The sequence below is a fragment of the Homo sapiens genome, chromosome 1 (genome assembly GCF_000001405.40).
Source record: "Homo sapiens chromosome 1, GRCh38.p14 Primary Assembly".
Lineage (NCBI taxonomy): Eukaryota > Metazoa > Chordata > Mammalia > Primates > Hominidae > Homo > Homo sapiens.
In genome coordinates this window covers 189,681,761-189,696,144 of record NC_000001.11, presented here as the reverse complement: position 1 = coordinate 189,696,144, position 14,384 = coordinate 189,681,761, and positions in this window count along the sequence as shown.

Sequence of the window (14,384 nt, the reverse complement as noted above, 5' to 3'; positions counted from 1 at the left end):
AATAATACGCTGTCGTTTCAAGTGAACAAAAGCTGGTTATTACACACTTGAATACTGAAAAGCTAAGAATTACTTTTTCTGTCCTTATTCATTATGTATTTAGAAATCTTAAATAAATGTAGCATTTATTCTAGACTAGTACACTTAGATATATGACTACGTTATCACTCATGAAGCCATCGAGGACTCAAGAGGAAAAGCAGTAGGTTGTAAAAAGATAGAATTAATAATTTATATTTGAAACTCTTGATTTGACTGTTTTCTACCACTGAAACTCTCTATATTTAAAACGCATGCTAGTGAAGACAGATTCACTTAAAGTAATCCTGAGTCATAAACACTTCAGTGAGCCAAAAGTATAATTTAATAGCAAGAGAAGTGGAGCTTTGAACAGAGAAAAGGAGAAAATTGTATTATTAAAATGCTTGCCAAGAAGGTGAGCATGTTCAATTGACTCCCATTTTTTGGGACGTTTACTCAGAAGTATCCCATATTTCTAAAAATCAGGTCAAGTTTGTTATTGTGTTAATGCACTTTTGTGATTAATTTTACTAATGAAGAATATCCATTTTCACAAAGCATATGTAAAAATAGTTCATTTTTGGATAAAAGAGATTTGCAAGGTCAATTGAGCTACTATATAATACAGAATAGATGCATTTCACTTTTTTTAAGTAAAATAAAACTAAATTATGCTACCAATAAGGAAAATAAAGAAGCGTTTTAGTTTTCATGCAATTGTAAAATTAAGAATCACAATGAATAGAAAAATAGATTTAGCTAGGTACAGGTATTTCAATCATGTTAAAATTTAGCGGTGTATAAAAGAAAATGTCTCTCTGGAAAGTCGAAGTTATATTTTTTTAAGGATTTATAGTAGCATGAATCACAAAAAAAAAGTTTACTACAAGCTGTAGCTAAAATGTATTTGTTTTAGTCAAAATGGTAAGAAACCAATTAAAATTACTTATCATGTTCCCAGAGCCAGCTTTAGAATTTGGTTTAAATTAAAACTCTATTTTGTCTTTTTAAAAAATCAATGCTATTTGAAAAAGTATCTCCCTGCTTTAAATTTAATTCTGGCATACTTGATGAAGATTCAAAATAGATAAATTTCCAGATGCTGCCAGTGTGGTCTTGAGGACACAATTTTAAAACACTGCCGTGATGTCTTTGATACTAGTTTCCGGCCAGATTACTGAAGGGAATAAATTAAATATCAAGAGAGTAACATAATTATAAGCCCATAGAAAGAAAATGTAGAAGAATCAATATTTATTTCCTTGTTTTTTTTTGCAGTTATTAAAAGTTGGTTATAAGGACAAGTAATTATTTTGTTAGTGCATTCAACATACATATCTAGTATATTTATTTAGCATAAATAGTGGAGTGTACTACATCTAAAAAGGGGAAATTAAAGTATAACACAATTATTTATTTGATATTAATAGAAATTATCTGTGCAACAAAAGTCAAACAGATGTCAAAGCTCCTTAGTATACTGGAATAACACAAAAATATATCTCCACAAAGCTAGTTATAGAAGCACAGGGATTTCAAGAGGGGCTTAAAACCTGGGAAGTGTCTTCCCTTGGTTTCCTGGAGCAGGAAGGGAGCTGACCCTCTGCCATCGAGGGGAGGCTGAGGCAGGAGAATGGCGTGAACCCGGGAGGTGGAGCTTTCAGTGAGCCAAGATGGCGCCACTGCACTCCAGCCTGGGAGACCAGGCGAGACTCCGTCTCAAAAAAAAAAAAAAGTTCATAGGCAGCTGTGATCACCAACAGCAATTTTCCATAGATCCTGAAACTTCCTTACTCTCTAAAAACCAGTGGTGAATCTGACTGCCAATAGATACTTCCAATAGATGACCCTCTTTCCTTTAGCTTTGACAATCATTTTTGATTACCCATTCCTTGTATAACAATCCCTTCCTACTTAGAATAAGTATAATGGCCTTGGTCTTCATGTTTAAACTCTGACCAATATGGACAGGTGTCATCGTTTTTACTAAGATGTTAAAGAGGGGCTTTTAAATGAAGGTGACCCTTGAACTGAGATTTTAAGTTATTCCACAGACACAAGAGATGGAGGACTTCTAGACAGAGGAAACAACATGAGCAAGCCACAAGACTTAAAATTCCATTGTATTTTTTGCAAACAAATAGTGTGTATTAAAAGTATTTACAACAGAAAAAGGATTAATGACATCTGGCATAATCAGGGGAGGTGTGTTGAAGACATTGGGTTTTGAAAAATGCACAGTACTCAGGAATATAAATAGGAGAATCTCTACTCTGATTTGAATGTAAAATATTTCAGACTGAGATGAACAAAAGATCACAAGAAAATTAGTAAAACTAGTGTTTCGAGTTAGAAAGACATTACTCATCAGACTGTAAGAGGCTAAGTTTGAGACGTGAGTTGACACTAAACAGGTCACATATGTGATGGTTTTACATATGATAAAATATTTTTTGAAGTTAAATACATACTGAATATTTTTTGTTTGCTCCTCTAGATGCACTTTTTACTCTTCTTAACTCTGTTTTCTACTCTGGTTCCTGAGCTAATAGACTGATTCTATCATTTCTGGTTAGGTTGGGCTAATAGAAGGCACTAGCGTGGGACCTGGAAGGCACAGGATGGTCAGGTTGGGATATTTGGTCTCCAGCTACCTCCATGCTGGTTTTCTGAGAGTAAGTACACCACAGTAGCAGAAGCTCAAGCCCTACTTGTAGTTGTCTTCTTGGGTTCTGGTAATTCTCCTTCCTCTTGTCCTTTCAGGTCCAGCAGAGGGCCCAAATCCTCCACTAGTAAGCCCTTCCCATGCTGGCTGGCTTTCCTAAATCTGGCGCAAATCTTTGTGTCATGTCTTTTGTCAGGAGCTCAGCTGAACTGTGAGAGGGAAATGAGCTGCTAAGTGTCAGAAAAGCCAGTAAAAAGCAACAAGTCAAGAGTGGAAAGAGGTAAGCCTTTCAAGAACCTAAAACTGGGGAAATTGCCACTACAGCTTGGGAAATTGCACTGGATCAACACAGTTGTGAGGGTTGTCTCACTGTGGAGGGAGTCCTCAAACTAAAGACTCTGCCAGTGTTATGCACAATGAGGTGAGGTGAGGTGCTGGTGCTGGTGAAGGAGGAAGGCTAAGAGTGGAAAAGTGCTGGGTGCTGAGTCAGAGAGAGAAGTGTCTCTTCAAGGTCTTCTCCTCCTCCCCACATAAGGAGACCTCAGCAGACATGCCTGAAGAACACTTCTGCCCAAGGCTTCTGTATTAATTTATTCTCACATTGTTATAAAGAAATTCCTGAGATTGGGTAATTTACAAAGAGAGGAGGTTTAATTGGATCACAGTTCTGCAGGCTGTACAGGAAGCATAGTGGCTCCTGCTTCTGGGGAGGCCTCAGGAAACTTACAATCGTGGCAGAAGCAAAGGAGAAGCAGGCACATCTTAACATGGCTGGAGCAGGAGGAAGAGAGAGGGCAGGGAAGGTGCTACACACTTTCAAACAAGCACATGCCCTGAGGCCTCCATCACAAGAACAGCACTGAGGGGATGGTGCTACACACTTTCAAACAAGCACATGCCCTGAGGCCTCCATCACAAGAACAGCACTGAGGGGATGGTGCTAAACCATTGGAAGCCACCCCCATGATCCAATCTCCTTTAACTAGACCCTACCTTCCCGCATTGGGAATTCCATTTCAAAATGAGATTTGGGTGGTAGCAGATCCCAACCATATTAGCATCAGATAAAGAGACATAGGAATGAAAGCACCAGGCTAGAAATTTATCCAAAGAACATGATTTGATAGAGGAGCTCGAGTCCCTGACTGACTTGACTCTTGAGAGACTGCAATGCTCTGGCTGTGCACCAGGCCTACTGTAAGGAGGGCAGCTTTCCTCTTGAGGCTTGCCAGGTAGCCTTTGTAATTGCACATGGTCAGGCATCAAAAATCATACATAGGTTTTAAACCAAGAGCAAATCTCCTTATCTTTCAAGGTCAGCCAGGAACCTAATCAATGCAGTTACTGTTGCAGAGCCTCAGAATGAGATTCTGAGATCGGTTTGTTCACATTTTTGAAGAGCACACAGAAACCTCCTTCTTGGTGTATAGTTGTGAATGACAGGGTTAATCCTTGGCTTACAGTGGTCTCATAATTACTCAAATTAACACCAATGTCTACTTAGAAGGCAGTGCCGGTGGCAGTAAGATGTTGGGAGCTCTATAGCTCTGGCACATAGTCATCAGTAATAATAATTTAAAAATAACATATCGTGAAATAAACTGGCTGCCTTAGAATAACTAACTAACATGCTCAAACAAATTTGTAGACTATATATCTTTTTCTTTTTAAAGATCATTGCCATTGAATATTAATTGCATAAACTCACTCAAATATTTCAATTAACAACAAAATCATATATAAGAATTGTAAATTTATTGATATTAATAATTTAAATATATGCTGCATATATCGACTAAAAATATATATGTAAAATTATATGGAGAGAGAATACAATTGTATTATGTCCTTCATGTTACCATGATAACAATGTGACCATATATTTTCAAAATAAGTTCTATATAAATACATCTGAGAACCATTTGTCTGCTATTTTAAATGTGTGATCAAGTAGTCTAGATTACCTAAGGATAGACAATCTACATTTCAGAGACTGGTATCAGTAGCCTCTAAAACGTTGTTAACTAGTTCTCTTCAGGCCTCGACATGATCTTTGGCCTTAGAAGGAATACTAAAAAGATTAACCTTTTTTTTCTAGTTAGTTGCAACTAGGTAAATATAAAATCAAAATTCTTTCATAAACAACATGTCATTATCTCATAAATAAAATGTCTTTTCAAAAAAAGTAATAAAAGAGAAATAAGGATATATTTTAGTTGATATATATAGAGTACCTTCCCTTCCAGTCATTTATTTTCCTTGAATACAGAACTAAATCAGTTAGCATTCATGAAACTTTTACTATGCTCATAGAATTTTCCTTGCCTTGGTGTTATGTTGTATAATGAATACATTGGTTTGAGATTTCAGTTTTTACATTTATACATTATTTTTCACTAGAATTTAGGTAAAAACTATGAAAAAGGCACATACTAAATTTAAATTCCTGAGAAATAAGAATGTAGTACGATGTCTCATGTGCACCTAGATCACAGAGAGGTAACAACATGACTTTAAGTAATGACCAGAGGAATACATGGTCTCTCTCTCTCACCTCTGCTTCCTTCTCAGAACCACTGGGACCTTTACAAAAATGGAATCGAAAACTCTTTAGTGGTTCGTTTCTGGCATAAAGCCCTAGCTTTCATTTGGTGCAATGGGGCATGGGCTATTTACTTTCCAAAAAGTATAATTATTGATCAATTTATTTATAATAAAACCGAGTCAACCAAAAACAACAACTAAACACTTATTTAACTTCCCAAATGTTAATAAATTCCAAAGATAGCATCTTGAGCAAATAATTTGGTTCAAAATCTCCCATTTATTGGCTACATTTTCACTAAACATCACATTTGTTCATCTAAAATAACTTTTCGAACTCTTTTAGATAGAGACATAGTATAATATCTCACTTACACGTAAACATTTACAGTCTATTGAGTATTATTACAGAATCCTACATAAATATGCTGCTTTTTTATGATCCAATATAAATATGTTTTATAAGATAGGTGACAGTTTGCAAATGATAAAATATTGATTTAATTTAAAAAATGCATATTACTTGTGTATATAAGACTGGGAATTGTGTTAAAATTATTTTTGCAATAATCATTCCTGACATTTATACTGAGAATTAGAGAACCTTCACAAATAACCTCATTTGATTCTTACATCTACTTTGTGATGTAGGGCAGGAAATAGCCTTAGAGAGGTTAAGTGGCTTGTCCAAAGTCCAAGTATTAAGAGGCAGCAATAAATCCAGAAATCAGGTTTTTTTTACAAGGTCATTCCTCTTTATACACTAATACTCTAATGGACCTGACACACACAAAAAACTTTATTAACATAATATAATGTAATATAATACAATATAATATAATTGGTTGTATTTCTCTTACTTAAGAAAACATTTTTGCATTGAAAAATGAAAACTTACAGAAAATAAAACTAAGAAAACTGAGGAAAACAGATATTTTCATATTTTAACATTTAATTATTATTTCCTTTGTGTAATATAAATACACATTTTACATATCAAATTTAATGGGCTTTAAGGAAAATATATTCTATTCAATTTCATACTAGCTTAAATGTTCTGAAAAAATGTTGGTATTATCAATAATAAGATCTAAATCCAAATTAGGGTTATGTTCTTTCTGGACCATCTCCTTAAATTTTAAAGGCTACTTTCCCTTTCTGTCATCTATCATCACAGTCTAAATCAGAAGACTTTTTTGTTCTGGGCAGGAGCAAGCTCACTGTCCTCTGGGGGCACACTGTGCAGCCATCCCTGCCCTCTTAACTTGAACAGGTACTATCATCCCAAGCCTGTGCATCCATGGATCTGCCCTCTGAGCCATTCTTTCTTCATTTTCTCCCTTTTCTGTTCCTTTCAGTCAAGGCTGGCAACATTCGATTGACATAAATTCTCAAACTCTTGTCAGTCCCCTGCACAATTCAAGAGAGTTTAAGCCATTAAGTGGGCCCTCCATAAATGTTTTCTGGATAACCACATCTCTATTCATGGTGTTTGCTAAGATAGTTGATTGGATCCATGTGTCACACACCTATGGTCTTTAGCATAGCTGTCCAACCACTTGGATGCTTTTTCCAGTGGATGCTTTCAAATTTATTCATCTCACACTTTTGACTTTTAGTTCTTTGTTTTGTTTAAGCAAGTTTTTACTAGCCCTAAATACTTTCAGCTATACCACACTAAATGTTCTTAAATTTCAGTTTTGATACTTTATCTTTAATTGGACCTGTGTTTTGGAGTATGATGTAAAATAGGGATCTAATTTATTAATTTGCATATAGGCAAATTTTCAATTGTTCAAGAAAAGTTGATTAAATAGTTCACCAATCATTAATTGGTTCAGTAAAATATACTTTTGATATTTTTATTGAAATTACATTGAATTTATAGTGTAATATGAAAAATATTAAGTTTTAATATTAAATTTTCACATTCATGAACATACTTATCTGATCATTGTAAATTGAATTCATTAATAGCCCAGTTTATAACTTCTGTCCACATATTCTTGCCGTGTGACTTCCCAGTTTCTCTCACTACAAAGGTGATATTATTTCACTGTACCTCAATTCTAGACTGGCTTTGTAATCTACTTTGGTCAATATGATATTATCGAAGGGTAAAACAAGAAGAGGCATTTAAGGCAGCTAGCACATTCATTTGTTTTTTCTTGCTCCTCTGTCATAGCCAAAAAGGCCAGCCTGTTAGAAAGAATGAAAGACTCATGGCCAGGTCACTCCACGGCCCCAGATGTTCATCACAGTCTCCATACTACAAATAAATCTCCCAGCTGTAGTCAGCTGAAATAATTATTGTTTTAAGCCATTGAGTTGCGGAGCAAATTGTTACATAGCATTCTTGAGGTTATTTAAATAGTGATACACACTCAAGCTATTGAAGTTGATGTATGGAATATAATACAAATGATGTATGGAATATTCTCCTGAACATTTTTTTATTTCTTTCCCCCAAGTTTACTCTTAAATATCTTATAATTTTTGTTGATTTTATTACTACAATATTTTGTCTATTTTATTTTATTGTTAAGAAACTCTTTGCATGCTACTAACTTTTGCATGCTAATGTCATGGAAAACACACTTTTAAATACTCTGATACTTTTGCTGCAAAAACAGTAAAATACCTGGGAATATATCTAACCAAGGAGGAGAAAGATCTCTATGAGAAAAACTACAAAACACTGCAGAAATAAATCACAGATGACACAAACAAATAAAAACACATCCCATGCTCTTGGATGGGTAGAATCAATGTTGTGAAAATGAGCATACTACCAAAAGCAATCTATAAATTCAATGCAATTCTCATCAAAATACTACCATCATTCTTTAAAGAACTAGAAAAAGCAATTCTAAAATTCATATGTAAACAAAATGAGCCTACATAGCCAAAGCAAGACTAAGCAAAAAGAACAAATCTGGAGACACTACATTACCTGATTTCAAAGTATACTATAAGGCCATCATCAATAAAACAGCATGGTACTGGTATGAAAATGGCACATAGACCAATGGAACAGAATTGAGAACCCAGAAATAAACCCAAATACTTATAGCCAACTGATTTTCAACAAAGGAAACAAAAGCATAAAGTGAGGAAAGGACACTCAATTAAACAAATGGTGCTGGGATAATTGGCAAGCCACATGTAAGAAAATGAAGCTTCATCCTCATCTATCACCTTATACAAAAATCAGCTCAACATGGATCAAGGACTTAAATCTAAAACCTGAAACAATAAAAATTCTAGAAGATAACTCTGGAAAAAATGTTTTAGACATTGGGTTAGACAAAGATTTCATGACCAAGAATGCAAAATCAAATGCGACAAAAACAATGATAAATAGGTGGGACTTAATTAAATTAAAGAGTTTTTGCATGCTAAAAGGAATAGTCAGTAGAGTAAACAGATAACCCACAGAGTGGGAGAAAATCTTCATAATGTATACTTCTGACAAAACATTAACATCCAGAATCTACAAGGAACTCTAGGAAATTAGCAAGAAAAAAACAAACAATCCCATAAAAAAGTGGGTTAAGGATGTGAATAGACAGTTTTCAAAAGAAGATCTACAAATGGCCAAAAAACATGAAAAAATGCCCAACATCACTAATGATCAGGGAAATGCAAATCAAAACCTCAATGCAATAAGACCTTACTCCTGCAAAAATGGCCATAGTAAAAAAAATAAAAAAATAATAGATGTTAGTGTGGATGCGGTGAAAAGGGAACACTTCTACACTGCTGGTGCGAATGTAAACTAGTACAACCACTGTGGAAAAAAGTGTGAAGACTTCTTAAAGAACTAAAAGGAATACTGTCATTTGATCTATCAGTCTCACTACTGGGTATCTACCCAGAGGAAAATAAGTCATTATATGAAAAAGATACTTACACACGCATGTTTATAGCAGCACAATTCGCAGTTGCCAAAATGGGAACCAGCCCAAATGCCCATCAATCAACAAGTAGATAAAGGGATTGTGAGATATGTATATAGAGATATAGATATATATATATAGATATATATATATAATATAGTGAGATATATATGATATATACATATATACACTATATATATGATATATACATATATACACTATATATATATACACATATATACATATATGTATGATGGAAAACTACTCAGCCATAAAAAAGAATGAATAACGGCATGCGCAGCAACCTGAATGGGATTGGAAACTATTATTCTAAGTGAGGCAACTCAGGAATAAAAAAACAAATGTATTTTTTTCCACTAATAAGTGGGAGTTAAGCTATGAGGATGCAAAGGCATAAAAATGATACAATGGACTTTGGGGACTTAGGGGGACTTAGGGGGAAAGGGTGGGAAGGGGGTGAGGGATAAAATACTATAAATTGGGTTCAGTGTATACTGCTCAGGTGATGGGTACACCAAAATCTCACAAATCACCACTAATGTATTTATTCATGTAATCAAATGCCACTTGTTCCCCCAAAACCTATGGAAATAAAAAATAAAAATATAAAAACCCATGGTAACTACTGGTAATTGAAGTGTATATTCAGGGAAACTTGAATGTACGGCTCCTGGGTGGCCATCCTCAATCTTTGAGCTTCAATAAACTTTATGTAATCATTAAAATAAATAAACAAATAAAAACTATATTACTGTTGTTTTCTATAAATTCAGGATTAATATTTATGCAAATATTGAATTATTGGCAAGTAAGAGAAGTTTTGTAGCTTCCTTTCTAACTCTACTTTCTAACTCATACATCATGTTTCTTAAATCTGATTACATTTGGTAAATAGTGAACAACATTAATAGAAGCAATAATACGTGTCCTTATCTCTTTGCTGACTTAAGTGTAAATGCCTTAAATGTTCCAAAATTTTACCCTAAACTAATATTTGTATTTTATTTTGATAATTGAGGGGAATTTAATTTTTTGACTAGTTTTGTTAATCTCTTGAGATTATTATATTTTTTCTGTCCATTGGTAAAGTTCCTACACTAATAGCTATATTTATGAGTTAATCTTCATACACTATTATTGTAAGAAGAAACTATTTGGCAATAAGAGAAATAGGCAGACAGGAAGAAAGAGAAAGTTTTTAAGAATTTACTAACTTGAATTTTCAACAGGGTTTTCATATGCACATACTATGCATGCTTCATATATTATATTTTGTGTACTAAACTTTTCCTGTTATTTTTTTAATAAGGTTATTCTCACCTAATAATTTGATTTAGGTGGATTCATCTTACTTTTTATTTTCTTTATATTTACTTTACTATTTATTTTCTACTAATTCTTGATGGTTAAAGTTTGGAGTTGAATTGTCCCAAATTTTTTTAGTCAAAAATCAGAGCTGTGAGAAATAATACTTAGTCTCAAAACTTCTCCTCATGGTGTCAGGATGGCTACTACAGCTCCAATATTACACCTTCACAGAACTGTATCTAAGACCAGAAGGCAATAATAAGAACAACAGAAGAGAAGAGTTTGTTTTTGCAAGTCTCTGATTCTCAGAATCTCTTTATCAGACTTGACTTTATAGCTAATTAGCCAGAAACATTCCTCATGCCCACTCCTACATGTTTTAGAGAGAAGGATGAATAGAATAATTGCAGTGATTTGGACCAATTAGAATGCATGTCTGGAAGTTGTGAAAGGAGTCTAGCTTCCTTGAGATCTAACAACTGCTGTCTGCTTTCTGAACAGATCAGATTCTAGGCAGGAGTGAAAAAGAAATGGCTGTTTGCTGAGTAAAATCAATGTCTCACACATTCATTATTAATATTTAATAAATGCACCTTATTTAATAAATTAATCTCTAAATATTGACCCTTTTTAGCATCCAAGAATACATTTTGTTTGTATTTCATTTCTATTTTCAATATTGTTGTTGATTTTTATTGATCTGCATTGGATAATGATATTTCTAGCCATGATATTTAAGACTGTGTGTTATTTGTTCTCATTACTTAAAATGTTTTACAACCTTTTGCTGGTATTTTTTTTTTCTTGCTAATAAGAACTTTAGACAGACTAAAGTCAATTTGTTTGTGGGTAATCTACATTTGCCCCTTATATTTTAATTTCTAAATTTTCTATCTAAATTAGATATTCACTCTAATGTGTCACAGAAATTTGTTTTAATTCATCTTGCTTGGTTTTTAGTTTCATTTGTAACATGAGAACTTTAATTCTGAAAAATTCTCAACCATCATAACACTAAATATTAATTCTTGAAAACTCAAATTTGTTTACTGCAATTACTGTTAGACGTTATTTATACTATTTAGTGAGACAGTCAATAAATATTCTTTTAATTCCCTTTCACATTTTTTTGTTTTTCTGTGCTTTTTATGTAAATTCTTAAATTTTATAAATTACTTTTTTGTCCTTTTTAAACTTTAATGATTTTATTTTTAATTTACAATGTTTGTATTTCTGCAGTGTCATTTTACTTTTGACACATTTCTGCCTATGTTTTCCTTATAGCTTTTTTCTTTTTATGAGTATTTTTCACTTATTTATATCACTGAGCTGAAAATACATCTTTTAAAATTTGTTAGTTATATTTTATTATTTTTATTAGTAATGCGAGCATTTTTTCTATTATTTAGCTTTTGTTGTTGTTGTTTTTAGCATTTTCTTCTCCAAGTGTTTTGAAACTGAGTTTGCTGATTCACTTTGAGTTAGTTTATATACCATTGCATTTCTAGCAGTTTTCAGATTTTCATCCAGCCCCCATACACCCAGGACAGAATCTCCTCTTATATTGGGAGTTTGGACTTTTACCATGGTTAATAATAGGAATATAACTGTCTTAGTCGACTTTGTGTGTAACAGAATACTCCCGACATCGTAATCGCAATGGAGAAATATATATATATATATATATATTTCTCATGGTTCTGGAGGATGGGAAGTCTAGTATCAAGATGCCAGCATCTGGTGAGGACCTTTTTGCTTTTTGCTGCATTATCCTAGGGCAAAAGGCTGAAGGAGAAAAGAGTGTGAGAGAGGGAGCAACAGGAAAAGGGGATAAATTCATCCTCTTATCAGGAAACCAGTTCCATGATAACTAATTCACTCTCATGATAATGGCATGATTCCATTCATAAGAGCAGAGCCCTAATGACCTAATCACCTCCTAAAAGTCCTACCTCTCAACACTGTTGCATTGGGAATTAAGTTTCCCATACATTAATTTTGAATGACACATTCAAACATAGCAATAACAGCTCAGGCAGTAACTAGAAGTGTGCCATCATTTGGCTGTTGTGTTTGAGACTCTGTCTTCTCTTTTCCTAAACCTGCTGGTTCATTTAATCTGTAGCTTTAGGTCTTATTTTATCAGACTTTTTTATAGGTCCTGTTTAAAAACAAGACTTCTGTATGTCTCCTGTATAGCTCCTGACTACTGACTTCTGCCTCCTTTGTAGACTTTTTATTATTTGTTACTTTTAGAAGACAAATTTCTAATTATCTTCACCTACTTGTGTACTCACAGAGCTATGAATCTAGCACTTCCAATAGCTCACATTTGATGTTTTTCCTGATTCCTTGTACGTACAAATGTTTATCTTTGTGTGTGTGTGTGTGTGTGTGTGTTTGAAGTTAGAAAGAAGATGAAAAATCAAGTATTAACTTTAAAAGTCTATTATTCTAATGTATTAGTAGTTTTCCTTTCTACTCGCCAAAGCGGAAAAGAAAAAGGAAATGGAGAAAGAGTTGGTACATTATATAACTACAAACAAAATAATTCTGTAAAAAAAAAAACAGAGAGTTTTTTAGGTATAAGTATTGAAAAGGAGGTTTGAGGAATGAATAAGCAGTTGTTGGTGGAATAGAATTTTGGAATTACAGTTTTTGTTTTTCTATATTTAATGCCTTCTTTAATGAGCTTTTATTATTCAGTAAGACTGAATAACATGCCATGCAATGCATATAAGCCATTTATAAAAGAAAGGCTCAACGCAGAACATAATAACAGACTTACAGTAAACAAGAACAGGTTAACGAGATTGAATGAAAACTAAAAGCTAAATCCCATATGTATTCAGGCAAGAGTAGATAAATCTTCAGTTCTCAAACATCCCACTCTTGTGCTTTTAAAACTCTAAGCTATTATGAAATACATGGTACTGGGAGACACTCATTATCTACGCAATAATAGCCTTAGGCAAACCTACATTTGTATTCCTCTTGCATTTTCAAAATTGGGAAAATTGAATCTGTAGTGGCTTCCCCTTCCCTTTATTTCATGAAAATAGAGAATTCCAGAGAGTTAATTCTGGTGGCTTTAAAATATTTAGTTTATGTGAATGTATGTAAATACCTGTTTTGTGCTTGAAACATATAGATTAGGAAGTTAATATTAAAAATTAAACATCTACAAATTAATATCACTAGTGGACTTTTTCTGAAAAGCTTTGAGAATTATAAAAGGTATGCATTGTGTTTTGTTCTAAATTCCCTTGCCAAAATGCCTAGCTCTTTGCATGTACTTTTTTTGCCTTATTTTAGCAATGAAAAATATTAGAAAGAATATTTAAGAGAGAATAAAGATGTTCCCATTTGAGATTTCAGTTCAAAGTCTTGCGTCCTTTATTACTCTCTTTCACTTCATCTTCACTGCTTTAATCTGACTGAGAAAGTTGTTAGCTAGAATTTCCTTTTTGAAAGGACAAACTTATTCAAGGATTAATTGTAGATTGCTAGGGTATAATGTATAAAATATTTTAATAAGTAAAAACTCAAAAACTAGACCATTTTCTCTTGGGTTCATTTTGCACAATATTGTCTTGCTATTTGCTTTTAAAAGCTGTGCCATCCTGAAAGTAAACTGAAATATACAATTTTAAAAGAAAATGTAACATTAGTAGAATATATTCTTTAACAGTTTACAGCACTGCTTTATATGATATATACATTTTAAAAAAAATTTCATGGGTGTAGCTAGTTTTGTTAGACCAAAATTAAATTTCACAAATCTTTATTGGAGCTAATGTATAAAGACATTGCACCTAACACATGAACTTTTCCCCCTTCCCTCTTGAGATTTCATCAAAATGACAATAAACGAACAGAGCAAATATAAACCATTAGTAGCCAAATCAGCACAAAGCCAACAGTGA